The sequence below is a fragment of the Homo sapiens genome, chromosome 14, assembly GCF_000001405.40.
Source record: "Homo sapiens chromosome 14, GRCh38.p14 Primary Assembly".
NCBI classification, from domain to species: Eukaryota; Metazoa; Chordata; class Mammalia; order Primates; family Hominidae; genus Homo; species Homo sapiens.
This window is the reverse complement of record NC_000014.9, coordinates 99829521-99847517: the sequence shown is the minus strand read 5'-3', so window position 1 is coordinate 99847517 and position 17997 is coordinate 99829521. Positions and strand designations below refer to the sequence as shown.

Genomic DNA, 17997 nt, shown 5'->3' with positions numbered 1-17997 from the left:
ATTAGCCAGGCATGGTGGCATATGCCTGTAGTCCTAGCTACTTGGGAGGCTTAGGTGGGAGAATCATGGAGCCCAGGAGATCAGGTCTACAGTGAACTATGATCACGCCACTGCACTCCAGCCTCGAAAACAGAATGAAATTCTATCTTAAAACAAACAAACAAAAAACCAGTACAGACATAGAATATTTGAACAACACTATAAACCGTGTTGACTTAACTGATACGTAGAGAAAACGGTAGCTAACAATAGCAGTGCATACGGTACATTTTCAGGACACATCATATTCTGGGTCATTAAACAGATTGAAATAAATTTAAAGATGGGAAGAGTATGTTCTCTGACCACAATGATATTGTTAGAAATCAACTACAAATATTTGGAAATGAAGCAATACATTTCTAAATAATCATTGGATCAAAGAAGATATCAGGAGAAATTAGAATAATCAAATGATAATGAAAATACAACATAGCAAAATACATGGGATGCAGCTAAAGCAGGGCTTTGAGGAAAACTAATAGCTTTAAAACCACTGTTTTAGAAAAGGAGAATCTGGTTATCTGAAAAGGTCAACAAAATGTAAGCTCCATAAAGCAGGAATCTTTTCTGTTGGTTCACTACTCTGCCCCTCAACCTAACATACAGTGAGAACTCAATAAATATTTGGTAAATTAATGAATAAATGGGTAAATGAGTATCTCTTTTGAAGCATGCATTAAATTAGTTGTTAGGGATAAAAGATGATTCACTCACACAGCTATCCTTAAGAAGCTCTCTGCCTAGTGGAGAAGACACCTGCCTACAAATTTCTAAAATAATTTGATAAGTTATATAAACATATAAAGTGATAAGTGAACAAAGAAAATATTAGCTGTATTTGGAAAAATGGGATCAAGCAGGGGTTGGCCTTGAAGAATAAAAATATTCACCAGGGCTGGGGGTGGTGGCTCATGCCTGTAATCTCAGCACTTTGGGATGCCAAGGTGGGTGGATCACCTGAGGTCAGGAGTTTGAGACCAGTCTGGCCAACATGGCAAAACCCCATCTCTACTAAAAATACAAAAATTAGCTGGGCATGGTGGTACACACCTGTAGTCCCAGCTACTCGGGAGGCTGAGGCAGGAGAATCGCTTGAACCTGGGAGGTGAAGGTTGCAGTAAGCCGAGATTGCGCCACTGCACTCCAGCCTGGGTGACAGAGCAAGACTCTGTCTCAAAAAAAAAAAAAAAAAAATCACCAGCTGGAAAAATAAGAATGGCATTCCAAGCAAAGGAAACAAGCAATTTAAACAAAAACGCAGAAACATGAAAACATATGGAATATTTAGATAATAATAAGTGGCCTCTGACATTGAAATCTGCCACCTTGTAACTTCTGCTTCCTGGATAAATAATTCTGTCTTGCCCTTAAATTCAGGCTCTGTCAATTTTCTTTTTTCTTTTTCTTTTCTTTTTTTTTTTTTTTTGAGACAGAGTCTTGCTCTATTGCCCAGGCTGGAGTGCAGTGGCGTGATCTCAGCTCACTGCAACCGCCGCCTCCTGGGTTCAAGCAATTCTCCTGCCTCAGCCTCCTGAGTAGCTGGGATTACAGGCACCTGCCACCAACGCCGGCTAATTTTTGTATTTTTAGTAGGATGGGGTTTCACCACATTGGCCAGGCTGGTCTTGAACTCCTGACCTCAGGTGATCCAACCACCTCGGCTTCCCAAAGTGCTGGGATTACAGGCGTGAGCCTCAGCGCCCAGCCAGGCTCTGTCAATTTTCTAAGTAACAGATAATTGTTTCACACATAGAAATAATTTTCAAGTGTGTCTATGGCACTTCTGAGAGAGAATAACATATCTATTAACCAAGAGAGCCGCTAAGCTCTTACAAAAAAAATATTGTGTAAGTCTTTTTAAAACTATGTCTTAAGCATATCTCTTTAAAGAAGTAAAACTATAAAGCAAGAACAACTTGCAAATATCCTTTTCTCATGCTCCTCCTCTCCTAGAACTAAATATACCATTCTTTATGCTCCCAATGTAGAATCCATACTGTTTATTAGGAGTACTGATGGGGATGTGTGCACGTCCTCTTTTTTCTGTTTCTCTCTATTGAATGAGAAATATAAAGAACTTTACAAACTCAACAGTGAGAAAACAATCCAATTTTAAAAATAGGCAAGGGGAAAAATGGGCAAAAGACTTAAATAGACCACCAAAGAGGTTATTCAGGTAACAAGCAGGCACAGGAAAAGATGTTCAACATCATTAGTCATTATGGAAATGCAAATTAAAACTACAATGAGATATTATTACACATCTATTAGGATGGTTAAAAGTAAAAATGCTGACAAAAGCAAGTGCAGTGAGAATATGGAGCAAATGAAACACACTCTCCCCCACTGCTGGTGGGCACACAAAATGACACGACCACCCTGGAAAACAGTTTACCATTTTCTTATAAACACATATTTCCAATATGACCTAGCAATTCTTAAGTATTTGCTCTAGAAAAATGAACAATATTCATACAAAAACCGATACGCCAATGTTTCTGGTGGCTCTGTTCAGACTTGATAGAAACTGGAAACAACTCAAAGGCCCTTCAACTGGTGAATGGATAAACTGTGGTGCACTCATACAATGGAATATACTCAGTAATAAAATGGGATGAATGACTGATACACAAAACAACTTGCATGGGTCTCAAAGGCATTATACTGAATGAAGAAAGCCCATCTCAAAAGGTTACATCCTGTACTATTCCATTTATATGACATTCTCCAAAGACAAAACTGTAATGAAGGAGAATGGATCAGTGGTTGCCAAATGCTGGGTTGGGGACACTGCACAAGGGAATTTTGAAGGTAATTGGAATGTTCTATATCCTTAGTGGTGGTTGTTACATTAAACCATACTTTGTTAAAACACATAGAATTATCTCAAAAATGACAGTTTTTATTGAATGTTAACATATAAAATAAAGTAATTTTATGAGCATTTAAGTAAGATAAGGTCCACTCATTGGTTTTGCCAATTTTTTTTTTTTTTTTTTGACAAAGTCTCACTCTGTTGCCCAAGCTGGAGTGCGGTGGTATGATCTCAGCTCACTGCAACCTCCACCTCCCAGATTCAGGTGATTCTCTTGCCTCAGCCTCCCCAGTAGCTGGGACTACAGGCACACACCACCATGCTCGGCTAATTTTTGTATTTTCAGTAGAGACGGGGTTTCGCTATGTGGGCCAGGTTGGTCTTGAACCCCTGACCTTGTGATCCGCCCGCCTCGGCCTCCCAAAGTGCTGGGATTACAGGTGTGAGCCACTGCGCCTGGCCTGGTTTTGCAAATTTACAAGTTATTTTTGCTTGTTGGGATTGGTTGCTATTATACTATGAGAGCTCAGCAGAGAAATATTTCAATGAAAACTAAGTACTTATTGCTCAAGGGAAAGAGACTGTCCTTAAGTGCTATGTAACTTCTTGTGAATGGACAGTAGTTCTGTGGAATTTCTCCATTTCTCCTTTGACTTTGGATAGGAGGGAAAGAAAATCTCACTTCAAAATGTCATGCCACTGGGAGAGAGAAGTGGGGAAGATAAGAAGGTATTTTATATCTGTCTTCCCTCTGAGGAGTAATTAAACAGTTCAGTGAAATCTTCTAATGTGTGAATAAAAGAAGGCAGAGTCAGGTTGGTGTAACAACCATTGTGTAGGACGCTGGGTCAACACACACCTACCTGGGAAGGTCTCTGGCCTCAGGCGGAAGGCAGGGAGAGTTCTACTAAGGTAGGAGAAGACATTCTAGAGCTAAGTCAGTGTTGACAGCACTGGCAGAAGAGGCATAGACTTCAGTCTTTAAGAGCACGGACTATGGAGTCAAGCTACCTGGGTTCAAATCCCAGCTCTGCCACTTACTAGCTACATGACCTAGGACAAACTACTTAATCTCTATCTGCCTCTATGTATAAAACAGGTGCAACAAGAGTATTTCATAGGGTTGTTATAATATTAAATGAGTTGACACATTTAGAGTACTTAGAATACTTTTTGCATATAGTGCATGTATAAATAAATATAAGCTGTAATTAAGTTATTGTTACTATTGTTGTTTCCAATAAAAATTACCAAAACAAATCCAAGTTTAACAAAATTCCTATGTGCTGTCTCAACGGTTATGCAAATTAGCACTGAATAATTAGAAATTAGTGCATAATTAATAATATTTGCTTTTTAAATCATGAAAGAATCTGTAGCATAGACTCATGCATTTATTTTTTTTCTTTAGCAATAGTGTCTCACTCTGTTGCCCAGGCTGGAGTGCAGTGGTGCGATTACAGCTCACTGGAGCCTTGACCTGGGCTCAAACAATCCTCCTATCTCAGCCTCCCGAGTAGTTGGAAGTACAGATGCACACCACCACATCTAGGTAATTTTTAAACTTTTTATAGAGATGGGGTCTCATTATGTTGCACAGGCTGGTCTTGAACTCCTAGCCTCAAGCGATTATCCTGCCTCAGCGTCTCAAAGTGCTGGGATTACACAGGCATGAGCCACCACACCCAGCCTAGAACTGTGCATTTCTATGACATTTTTGGGTTGTTCGTGCAGACAGCAGCTTCTAGAGAAGGCACACACGCTCACTGCTGGGACTCAAGCACATTTATTGTGGCTGCCAGCACAGGATTGAGGAGGAAAAAGTTGGTCTCTGTAGTATAACCTTGCATTTTCAAATCAATATTATAAAACAACATACAGAGTAAGGCAAGACTGGCCTGCTCCCTGCATTCAAAAACTTTAGCATCACTGTGGTCTCAGTGGCTTTAATAAAACTGCACAAATCAGAATATTTAAATTATATTGCTGAATTTATATAGGAAAAAGTTTGATTTTAATATTTTAATAAAAACCCCCACCACCTCAATATTTGCCTTCAAATACAAATGGTTAAAAACTGAAATGTCAGATCTGCTTAGGAGAGCCCCCATTTGTGAGATTTGCTGAAGTTTTCCCCATGACATAATCCTAGTGCTTTTCAGATCCTGCCAAAATCATTGCTTTAACCTGTAATGGATTTTCTTACTTCTGTTTCTGCAGGTAATTAATCTGAAGAATACGACTGGGAGACTTCTTGGCAGCAGCATGAGCTGTCTGAGGTTCTTAACCTTCTTGTGTACAGAAAAGACCAGTGTTGTTCAAATGACTTTACACTTCAATTAAGCTGGGGGAAAAACTGATTAGCATAATGAAGAACAAAGCCTAAAGCTTGCTTTAACCAACACAAACCATTTGAATCTCTAAGCATTTCATAGGATTCCACAGCACAAGATGTGAAACTTCATCTGAATTTCATCAAAGAAAACCTCAGGTTGGGAATGCAGCACCAATAAAACTTTAACAACTTATTTATTTTAAAGTCATTTTTGCTCCTATACCTCTCAAATCTATCTGTGGAGGTCATTAAAACAGTGTCAATAATTGAGCTTTAGCTTTTTTTCCCCCAAGTTTTTACATTCTTGTCTATTATCACTTTACAGTGTTAGAGGGAGGTTTGAAGAAGACAATATTCTCTAAACTTTTACCTCTTGGGTTTTCTAAAACTTTTGTGTGAACTGGAGCTCCGGTTGGGCTGGGCACCTGCTCCTTTCCTGATCTGTTTACACATGGCAGTGTGTAACTGCGTCTATGGGGCGGTGTCTCTATCTCAGTATTGGGGAACGATCTCCCACGTTGTGATCTCGCAGCACATGCTGACTCTATGGGCACAGGGTAGACAAGATTTAATCAGAGGGAAAACTGAACACCCAGTGGTGCGAGGCATTGATGCAGATGTCTTAGCTGGCCAACCACTCTGAAAGCCACTCTGCAGCCTCTGCCAACAACCCTTCTCAGGGCTACACGTTCCAACTTTGTGGCATTTTGTCAAGGGCCAAACACTGTTGAGAGTAGTCTGCTAAGGGTTACCTATACTGCCCTGTCTGGGTCCTGGGGCTTTAGAGGCACAAGAGAGAGAGCACTGATTTGGGATTCAAACTGAGCAGTAGCCAATTCCTAATCTGTCCCCTATTAGCTATGTGACCTAATACCACCTGCCTTCTGACGTTCCTGTGAAGATGAATGTTAGCGTGTATGAAACTTCTAATACTATGACGGCATACAGACACTCAACACAAATGGTACTTGAGCCTTACTAGAATCCATTGTTATGAATATTCCTGTTTTGTTTATAAGAGCAAAAAGCAAACATTGATCTTCAGTGAAATCAACGATTAACAATAATTATTGAACAAATTCTGCAAATACTGTGCAGGTCTCTCTCTGCAGCACCTCTGGCCAAGTTGAGGAAATGTGATGTTAGCCTTAAGATAAGGCATGGTTTGATGCCACACGAGCCCTCCCACTTGGCAGCACACGACCAGTGGCAAAAGGACAGGCCAAGTGTTACCTCTCATAGCCTCCAGCTCCAACTTGACTCTCATGAGAACCCAGCCAAGCACTGGCTTCTTTCTGAGTTTCAAGGGATGCCATGGGTCTGGGCAGCCCCTACATCACCCGCAGTTTCAGAAGCAAAAAGAAGACCTTGTAGCTCTGCTTTTACCATAGGTCCTCATGTAGCTATTTACAGATCTGACTTTGAAGTTTAATTACTTTTTCTCTTACTGTAAAAAACAGAACAAAAGGGTTTCCGGTAACATGATGTGTTTCACTCTATTAAAAGGTGAGAGAAGCATGCTTTTTTCTCCATTCATGTGATTATCTCAGTATCCAGGGATAAGAGCAGGCTCTTGACTCTGTAAATCTTCCAGTAATACTAAGACATTGTTATCTGAGTGCTATTCCCGGAGGTTAAAGTGGCCTAGTAATTTTAAAAGGTTAACTTAGAATCTGTTCCCTTTATCGTGAGATGTTCTTATTTTCTTTAATTATTTAAGATAATGATAGCACCAAAACAATAATAGCCACCCTTGATTCACCAGCCGCTGTATGTCAGGGCCTAAGCTTTGTGGTGCAGTGTCCCCATGCCCAGTGTCCCCACGCCACACAGCGCCCTCCCACAGAGGTGCCACCCTCATGCCACAGATGAAGTAGGAGAACCTGAGTTTCTGGTCCACCTTGCCTAAGGTTGCACGGCTAGAATGTGGCCAGCCGAGGGTGAGCTGTGAGCCTAGGCTCTTTTCACCATATGAGTTCTCCATCCAAATGACAGGTATTAATTCCAGTGAGATTTCTGTGGTACTAAGTAAAATACACATAGAATTTTTACATCATTTTGCCTTTTCCAAAATATTACACAAATGCTATTTAGAAAAAAAACTTACCAGATTTAGTAGTTTAAAACCAATCATTTAAGCAGTAACAAATAATAACCCTTTGCTCAATAATTTGCAGATAAACATTTCACATAAAGCAGACTTTCCATATTATACGTTGTTCACGGAATAGTTATACTCTATTGTCATATTCGGAGTCATCCTATTAGTATCCAATAGCAAAAGAAACATACAAGCAATCAGTACAGAGAAGCAATTAACTGTCATTGCTCTGCCACTTGCGGGCCTGGATTTCGGCCTTGCTGTCAGATTCGCAGCCCTGCGTACCACTCCTGGCTGGGCTCCAGCTTTATTTCTGTTCTCAGACTCCCAGTTCTCCTTGGATCATCTGGGTCAGTTAGGAACCCTGTGTCCTGCTCACCTCCAAGCTGGACCTGCCACAAGAGCTCCGGCTCTGACGTTCATCACTTCATAGAAAATGACAAGAATCGATCCCACCTCAAAATAAACCTGTTTCAAATGAAGCTCAAGAACTAATGTTCACATAATTGAATCTTAAAGAGCTCTACAACAACCTTTGCCTGATATAAAAATTTGTCATCGAATATTGATTAAAAGAACTTCAGCAGAGCCTCTTGAATCTGGAAAGAAATGGTATAAAGATCTTTTACAAGCCTTAGGTTGGATAATGGTGGTGATGGAGATGAGAAAAAATACTCAAGATCACCCTAAGAGGCAACATGTGACTGTGTTTACCTTGGATGACATGGAGTTTAAAGGAAACAAACTTTCAGTTTAATTCTGTACAATGATATTGAGCATCCTTCTGGGGCAGACCTAGTGCCGGGCAATGCGATCTTCCCAATCCAAGGGCACTCAGTCTAGCAAGAAGAGACTGGCCAACAAATAACCATAACAGAAATGTAGGAACACAGATGAGGGATCAAATCAATAGCCCCCACCCTGCCCCAACTGTTATATGCCAGAATCACAAGCTTGCCAGAAAGTAATATGAGGACTAGACAGATAAAGATCAAAACACAGGTGAGTACAGAACACAACTTCAGGCCCGTTACTACGTTTCAATTAATGAATTGTAATTGAAAACAAAAGAGGAAAAATAAGAACAATCATCTGTAAAAAGACTGGCCATTGAAATTCTCTAGTTGAGTATTTAAGGGAATTTGCTAATTACCTTATCTTGACCTATCCTGGACTCTCATTTCATTTTGCCTAACCACAGTTATGAAGTCAACAAAGACATCCTGTGGAGCCCTGGAGACTTTGAAATCTTTGGAATGTTTACTAAATACTACAAACATGCACGCGCGCGCGCACACACACACACGCGCGCGCGCGCACTCCCCAACCTTTGCAGAAATGCTCTTGTTTCTGTCAGAAACTAAAAGACCTGGGCACTTGAAGATTGTTGATAGCTTTCCCCCACTCCACTTTACAGTTTTAAAGCAAACAAGAGATCCTGCAGCTGAGCAGAAAATAAATTCCTGATAACGTGTGAAGCACTATGCTTTAAAACCTGGCCTTTTGCTATGAGGCGCAGTAGCTACACCACACCAAGGGCAAGGGTGGCTCACCAGGCTCTGGGACAGCTTGGACGGGAGAAAGAAAAAAAAAAACTACAGCTTTTTAACAATGATCCTGGCAAGGCACACGAGGTTGCCAAATCTTAACCATGAAAGGAAAGATTAAAATTATGCAGATGGAGAAGGGAAGAGAAGACAAAATAATGAGCATTAGAGTAAAACTTGAAAAAGATCTAAAACTGTCAGTCCAAATTTTATTTTACATGGAGACTATTGCAACTTTCACTTGTTACATCTGTCACACATTCCAGATAGACATCCTCACTTTATAAACTGACTTAACAAAAAGTATCTAAAAAGGTAGCTTTAATGATTTTTTATTTTACACCATGGTTTCAAAGTCTTTCAGCAAAAAGAATAAAATAAAAGCTATTATTATCTAAATTTTTTCTACTAACTTCTATTAGTACAATTTTTTTCTATTTAAAGTACTATATGGTTACATCATCCAAAAATTTAGTTGTCTTCCTGACTTAATAATTTGATTAGTTTCAGACAATATTCCCCTGCATAAGAGCCTGTCCTTTAATAATTGAGATAAAAATTTAGAAAAGCACAGTGTAGCCGGGCATGGTGGCTTATGCCTGTAATCCCAGCACTTTGGAAGGTTGAGGTGGGGGGAGTGGTTGAGCCCAGGAGTTCAAGACCAGCCAGGGCAACATAGTGAGACCCCGTCTCTACAAAAGATTTAAAAAATTAGCCAGGCATGATGGTTCATGCCTGTAGTCCCAGCTACTTGGTAGGCTGAGGCAGGAGGATTGCTTGAGCTGGGAAGGTTGAGGCTGCAGTGAGCTGTGATTGCACCACTGCTCTCCAGCCTGGGGGACAGAGTAAGCCTCTCTCAAAAACAATAAAACAACAAAACAAAAAGAAAAGCACAGTTCAAATGGTTTAAAATCACCAATGGGGCCAAAGCCAGAAACCTAGTTTTCCAAGAAAAAACTTTCTAAAACAGGCTGGTGGTACTGTTTCAGGACAAAACAATAGATATGTTCGGCTATGGAAGATACTAAAATACCTAGGTTTTTATGGTAGAACTTGTCTTTTAGGTTCCTATCAAAAGGTGGAGCTACAACGGTTTAAGGTTAGAATCTAAAGGAAAGTTTGAGTTCTAACCTCCCATCCACATTCGTTGTTACTGTAAAAAAATTTTTAATCCTTTTTGACATTCTGTAGCTACTTTTTAAAAAGTGCCATCAACTTCTGCTTCCAGCCAAGATGGAGTAACAGTGATTAGATTACCTTCCTACCTTAAACAGCTAAAAGAACAGACAAAATATATTAAACATCAGCTTTCAAACACCTGGACACCAGACAATGAGGAAGAGTGATCAATGAAAGATGGTAAACAAAAGAGGTGAACCCTAGGACTAGCCCAGCAGATAGTCTGGAGAGTTTCCAGGATGTGAGACAGGGAGGGAACCCAGGTAAAGCCTGAGTCTCCCTAAGTTGCTGAGACACACGGCTGTAAGTCCAGGGCAGCCAAGACGATTGGGGTTCGCAGAGAGGGTAATGGGGAAGAGAGCATTGCCAAGAGAAAAAACTTCAGAGATCTGGAAAGATTACCCTCCCACACCCTGCCCTCAAGTCTTCTGGTGAGTACTTATCAGCATTTACATGTGAGGAAATTACCCAAGACTGAAAAAAAAATCATCCAAAAAAAAAAAAAAATTAGAACAATTACCAGAGCTCACCTAGAGCTGGGAATAGTTCTTGATACCCTGACACCATCAGGCAGAGTGGAAAACCTCATAATCCACAGCCTCATGGAAGGAGAGGACTCAGAGGATGTTGCCCAAGACTAAATCCTACTCTGGTCCCCCTAACAAACTTAAGAGCAAGACCCAAAAGGATCAAAATGTCTCCAAGTAACTACCCCCAGTACAAAGCTCGAAATATTTATAGGAATTCAAAAATATCCAGCACCCAACGAGGCAAAATTCACAACGTCTGACCTCCACGAAAAAACAACTGGACATTCAAAGATGCACAAAAATATGACCCAAAATAAATAAAAGAATCAACCAAGCAAAACTAACCCAGAAATAACACAGACAATAGGATTAGTAGACAAGAACAATTAAATAGTTATTATGACTATACTATATACATTCAACATCATACTGCAAGTCCTAGCTAGTGCAAAAAGTCAAGAAAAGGAAGTAAAAGGTATACAGACTGGGAAGGAAGAAACAAAACTGTCTATTTGCAGATGATATAAATGTCTATGTAGAAAATCCCAAAGAATTGACCAAAAAAACCCTCTCGTAACACTGTTACATGATACAAGGTTAACACAAAAAAGTCAACTACTTTCCTACGAACCAGCAATGAACAATTGGAATTTGAAATTTAAAACACAATGGCATTTATAATAGTACCAGAAATGAAATAGGTGCATATACATCTACCAAAATATTTACAGGATTTAAATGCAGAAAACTAAAACATAATAAAAGAAATTAAAGAAGTTCTAAAGAAACGGAGATATATTCCATGTTCACGGATTAGAAAACTCATTACTGTTATGATGCCAATTCTTCTCAATTTGATCTACAGATTCAATGCATTCCCAATCATAATTCCAGCAAGCTATTTTGTAAATATCAACAAAGTGAATTTAAAGTTTATATGCAAAGGCAAAAGACCCAGAATAGCCAACACAAAACTGAAGAAGAGTAAAAAGCTGGAGAACTGACACTACCTGACTTTAAGACTTATAAAGCTATAGTAATTAAGACGTCATGTAATTGGTGAAAGAACAGACACATAGATCAATGGAACAGAGAGTCCAGAAATAGACCCACACAAATACAGTCAACTAGTCTTTGACAAAGGAGCAAAGGCAATTAAACAGAGAAAGAAGAGTATTTTCAGCAAATGGTGTTGGAAATATTGAATGTCCACATGCAAAATAATGCATCTAGACACAAAACTTTCACAAATACTAACTCAAATTAGACAGAAAGGAAAATTAGAAAGTATTTCTAACTGAATGAACATAAAAACACAGCATATCAAAATTTGTGAGCTGTCGCTTAGAAAGAAATTTATGTCACCCAACATCGACATTAGAAACGAAGAAAGGAGAAGGAAGTAGGGGATGGGGAAGGAATGATCTCAGCATCCACTTAAGAAAACCAAACCTTCAGGAACCCAAAGTATGCAGAAAAAAACGAAGCAATATACATTAGAGCAAAAATCAATGAAACAGGAAAAACACTGGAGAAAATCAATGGAATGAAAAGCTAGTTCACTGAGAAAATAAAATTTGCAAACCTATAGCCAAATTGATCAAGGAAAAAAAGAGAAAGGACATAAAATATCAATATCAGAAATAAGAGAATTGACATTACTACAGATCGATAGATATCAAAAGGATAAAGAAATATTTTTAAAAACTTTATGCCAATAAATTCAGTAACTTAGATAAAATATACACATTCTTGAAAGAAAAAAAAGTAACAAAGCTCATGCAAGAAGAAATAGATCTAAAGAGTCCTATTAAAGAATAGAATTTGTAGTTAAAAACCTTTCCACAGTCTGGGCACGGTGGCTCACGCCTGTAATCCCAGCACTTTGGGAGGCTGAGGCAGGTGGATTGCTTGAGCTCAGGAGTTTGAGACTTGCCTGGGTAACAAATGAAAACCCCATCTCTACAAAAAAAATACAAAAATTAGCTGGGTATGGTGGTGCACACCTCTAGTCCCAGCTACTAGGGAGGCTGAGGTGGGAGGATTGCTTGAAGCCGGGAGATAGAGGTTGCAGTGAGCCAAGATCACTCCACTGCACTCCAGCCTAGGCGACAGAGTCACACCCTTTCTCAAAACAAAACAAAAACAAAAACAAAATCTTTCCACAAATCACTGATAACCTCACTGGTGAATTCTACCAAATATTTCAGGAAAAAATAATGTTAATTCACACAAACTATTTCAGATAACTGATAAGGAAGAAATATTTCTCAACTCATCTATTAGGCCAGCATTACTCTAATATCAAAATCAGACAAACACATTACAAAAGAAAACTACAGACCAATATCCCTCATGAAAATAAATGCAGGCCGGGCACAGTACCTCACACTTGTAATCCCAGCACTTTGGGAGGCCACGGGTGCATAACCTGAGGTCAGGTGTTTGAGACCAGCCTAACCAATATGGTGAAATCCCATCTCTACTTAAAATACAGAAATCACCTGGGCATGGTGGCGTGCACCTGTAGTCCCAGCTACTCAGGAGGCTGAGACAGAAGAATTGCTTGAACTGGGAGGCGGAGCTTGCAGTGAGCCGAGACTGCACCACTGCACTCCAGCCTGGGTGATAGAGCAAGACTTTGTCTCAAAAAAAAAAAGGAAACATTCTTAAAATTTTAGGAAATGAAAGTCTTATATAAAAAAGAATACATCATGACCTATTAATAGGTTTATTCTAGGAATGGTTTAACATTCAAATATCAATGTAATCCGTATTTACAGACTAAAAAAGAAAAATGAGGTAATCAGGTCAATAAATGCAGAAAAAGCATTTGACAAAATCCAACATCCATTTCTGATAAACACTCAGTGAACTAGGAAGAGAAAAGGACTTCCTCAATCTGATGAAGGGTGTCTATAGAACACCTACAACAAATATCACACATTTCAATATTATCTTGGAGGTTTTAGTCAGTGAAAAATAAAAAGAAATATAAGCTCTCTAGATTAGAAAGGAATAAGTAAAACTGCCTTTGTTCACAAATGACATGGCTGTCCAACTAGAAAATCGAAGGAATACACAAAGAAGTTACTGGAACTAATAAGTAAGTTTATCAAGGTTTCAGGATAGAAGATCAAGACATAAAAATCAATTGTATTTCTATATACTTGCACCAAACAATTGGGACTATTTACATTATCAAAAATATGAAATGCTTAGGGATAAATATGGCAAAAGATGTTCAACATCTGCACACCAAAAAGTAACACTGCTTTTACTCTCAGAAAACACTGCTGAGAGAAAGCAAAGAAGACCTAAATAAACAGAGAGATATACCGTGTCTGTGGGTTGGAAGACTCATTGCTGTTCATTACTGTTAAGCTAACAATTTTCCCTACAGAAAAATTTAATGTATAGATTCAATGCAATCAATAAAAATCCCAGCAGGATTTTTGTAGAAACTCAATAGCAGATCCCAAAATGCACATGGAAATGTGAAGAACCTAGACTAGCCACAACTTTGAAAAAGAGCAAAGCTGAAAGACTTACACTGCCCAACTTAAGTGACAGTCATCAAGACAACATGGTAATGGTGTAAACAGATCAACAGAATAGAATAGAGAGTTAAGAAACAGACCGATACCTTTATGGGCAACTGATTTTTAACAAAAGTACAAAGGCAATTCAGTAGAGAAAAGACAGTCTTTTCAACAAATTAGGCTGGAACAATTGCATATCCATACCCACACACACAAAAGAACCTCAATCCATACATTGCACCATATGCAAAAATTAATTCAAAATGGATCATAAACCTAAAAGTAAGAAATAAAACTATAAAACTTGTAGAAGAAAACTGAGGAGGAAATCTTTATAACCTTGGTTAGGCAAAGATCTTGTAGATATGACAGCAAAACCCCAATCCATAAAAACAAAACAAAACTTATTGAGTACTATGCTCACTACCTGGGTGTCAGAATCAATCATACCCCAAACCTCAGCATCATGAAATACACCCATGTAAGAACCGACACATGTACCCCTTGAATCTAAAATAAAAGTTGAAATTATTTTTTAAAAAAGAAAAAAATGGTAAATTAGATTTAAGAACTTCTGCTTTTCAAAAGACACTGTTAGGAGAGTGAAAAGATAAGCCACAGAACAAGAGAAAATATTTACAAATCACATATCTGATAAAGAACTTGTATCCAGAATATATGAAGCATTCTCAAAGCTCAACAAGAAAGTGAATAACCCAATTTTAAAACGAAGCAAAAGATCTAACAGAGACTTGGCCAAGGAAGATATACAGATGGCAAATAAGCATATCAAAAGGTGCTCAACATCATTAGTCATTAGGGAAATGCAAATTAAAACCGAAATGAGTTATCACCTCACGCCCGTTAGAAGGTCTGAAAATAAAAAGACCGACCACACCAAGTTTTGGTGAGCATGTGAATCAGCAATTGCATCTCTGACATGGCTGTGGGGATGTCAGGTGGTACAACCACTTTGGCAGACAGCTAAACACACACCCACTATTGAGTCCGGCCATTCCATGCCCAAGTATTTCCCCAAGAGAAATGAAAGCCTCCATCCATACAAAGACATGGACACAAATGTTAAAAGCAGCTTTATTTGTAATAGCCAAAAACTACTGGGACATTTGGGAAACAGCCCAAATGTCCATCAACAAGTAAATGGATAAATAAACTGTGGTAGGTCCATACAATGGCGCCCAGCGATAAAAACATATTAACATTGATACAAGCAACAGCACGGATGAATATCAAAATTGTGCTGGGTGAAAGCAGCCAGAAAATAGAGTACATTCTGCATGGTTCCAGTTACATAAGATTACACAAAATGCAAACTAATCAATAGTGACAGGTCAGTAGTTGGAGTGGAGGGGGGCAGGGAGGGCTGACAAAGGGGCACAAAAGAAACTTTAGGGGCAATGAACATCTTCATTATCTTGATTGTGGTTATGGTCTCATGAACATATACAGATGTCAAAACTTATCAAATTGTTCATTTAAATATGCTCAGATTATTATAGGTTGATACCTCAAGAAAGCTTTTTTGTTAAGGGGAGGAAGCAGCAAAAAAAAAAAAAATCCCATCATTCAGTAAAAAATGAAAAGAAAAAAATTGTATATTTGTTAATGATTTCAGCAAACCTACTCAACTGCTGGAAGATATCATAAATCCTTCATGGAATGAGGCAGGATATTAAAAATAAGAAAATATTCAGTTTGGACAAAGAAAAAAAAGATGTATTGAACTGTGTTTGGATCTATAGGTTGCAGCAGATTTTTTTTCTTAATGAACTCGTTCATTTAAAAAAAGAGAAAATAGTTGTATTCCAGGCCAGTATACCACATATTTCAGCAGCCAGCACAGAAGTGTATGCCTCCCACCATTTTACTCTCTTAGAATAGCTTTCAAAATCCCACTGAAAATTCCTGATGCCAGATTCCACACAGGATGAGAGGCCCTGGCCCACAGCTGCCGATGGGAGCAACAGGAGTGATGCCAGTGGGCCCAACGATGGGGGGAACCTCTACCCATGCCTTTCCAGGGTACCTGTCCCGGGTCCCTGGAGCAGCTGCACTCTCCCCTGGCTCTCTTTTCATTATAGTTCAGAGAGTGAGACTACGACCGGATGATCAATGGAATCATTTTGCGGAATATTCAGATCTACCCAAGAAAACATTTGCCTTTCCACTTCAAAGCCCTGCTCCAAATCCCACACCAAAATATACTGGAAAACACTGCTCAGAGTACGTTTATAAAACATTACCACTTTTTAAAGAGCATTCACATAACGTGAATTGACAATCTAGTTCTCTAATTTTTAAAATACACTTGAAAATACATTTGAGTTGTTGAATTTTCCAGAGTGAAAATTTGGAATTTAGAGAGGCACTGAGAGGGCCCTTAGATGACACAGGACAGTATTCTTGATCCAGGTGACACTGGTGGCTGAGTTTTAAAGAATCAAAAGGAGTTGGTCAAAGAGAGAAAAGGGACATCTGACAAAGGGCCCGGTCTGGACAGTTGTCCTACATTATCGGCAGTCTGATTCTTTGAGTACTATTTGAAGTTTAATCCAAAATGGGCGCAGTGGCTCATACCTGTAATCCCAGCACTTTAGGAGGCTGAGGCGGGCGGATCACCTGAGGTCAGGAGTTCGAGACCAGCCTGGCCAACGTGGTGAAACCCCGTCTCTACTAAAAATACAAAACTTAGCTGGGGGCGGTGGTGGGTGCCTGTAATCCCAGCTACTTGGGAGGCTGAGGCAGGAGAATTGCTTGAACCCGGGAGGTGGAGGTTGCAGTGAGCCGAGATTGCACCACTGCACTCCAGCCTGGGTGACAAGAGCTAGACTCTGTCTCAAAAAACAAAAAAAACAAAAAGGCAAAACATGAATGCTCCAAAAAGTGCAAAAAAAGCCAAGAAAGCAGGAGGGAAGAGGAAACGATGATTAAAATAACATTGTCAATCTAGCACCATCAGAGAATAAGCTTCCTGGAAAGCCAGGTATTAGGAAGGGTCCACCTTTCAAGTAGCACCCTTTTTTCTTTTAAATTTCAACCATTTTGTTCAATAACAAAAAGATAAACAACCCAATTTCAAAATGGGCAAAGACCTTAAATAGATGTTTCTCTAAGAAGATATACAAATGGCCAATAAGCACATGAAAAGACACTCAACATCACTAGTCATTACAGAAACGCAAATTAAAGCCATAATGAGCTACTCCTTCACACATACTAGAATGGCTATCATAAAAAAAATGAAAATAACAAGCATTGGCAAGAATGCGAAGAAATTAGAACCCTCTTGCACTGCTGGTAGGAATGTAAAATGGTACAGCCATTGTGGAAAACAGTTTTGGCAGATCCTCAAAAAGTTAAACGTAGGATCACCATATGATCCGGCAATTCTACTCCTAGGTAGACACGCAATAGAACTGAAAACAGAGGCTTGAACAGGTATTTCAAAGCTATGTTCAAAACAGCATTATTCACAATAGCCAGAAGGTAGAAACAACCCAAATGTCCATGGATGGATGAACGGATAAGCAAAATGGGACCTATCCATATAATCGAATATTATTTGGCCATAAAGGAATATAGTTCTGGTAAGCAGATGGAACTTGAAAACATTATGCTAAGTGAAATAAACCAGTCACAAAAAGACTAGTATTGTATGAGACAAATATTATATTTCATCTAAGTCACTACTACAGAGTAAGGTGAGATACACAGAGTAGGCAAATTCAGAGACAGAAAGCAGACTGTGGGTTACCACGGGCTGGGAGGCGGGAGGGATGGGGAGGTGCTGCTTCATTGAGTACTGAGTTTCAGTTTGGGGTCATGAAAATTTTTGAAGTAGAGAGTGGTGATGGTTGCACAATATTGTGAATGTAATTAATGTCA

The 17997-nt window shown here is 39.1% G+C and overlaps 1 protein-coding gene across 7 annotated transcripts in view, besides 1 other annotated feature; it reads right to left on the bottom strand.

The window, feature by feature from the left end:
* The window catches only part of EML1 (EMAP like 1), a 204339-nt gene that overhangs the window by 94543 nt on the left and 91799 nt on the right, over nucleotides 1–17997 (bottom strand). The gene's annotated exons all lie outside the window — the stretch shown is intronic.
* Nucleotides 8287–8914: an enhancer, noted in NCBI's record as "OCT4-NANOG-H3K27ac-H3K4me1 hESC enhancer chr14:100304941-100305568 (GRCh37/hg19 assembly coordinates)". NCBI's record gives its function as "activates a minimal SCP1, AML or CMV promoter by ChIP-STARR-seq in naive H9 embryonic stem cells {active_cell/tissue: H9 hESC(naive)}" and the evidence as "EXISTENCE:reporter gene assay evidence [ECO:0000049][PMID:30033119]".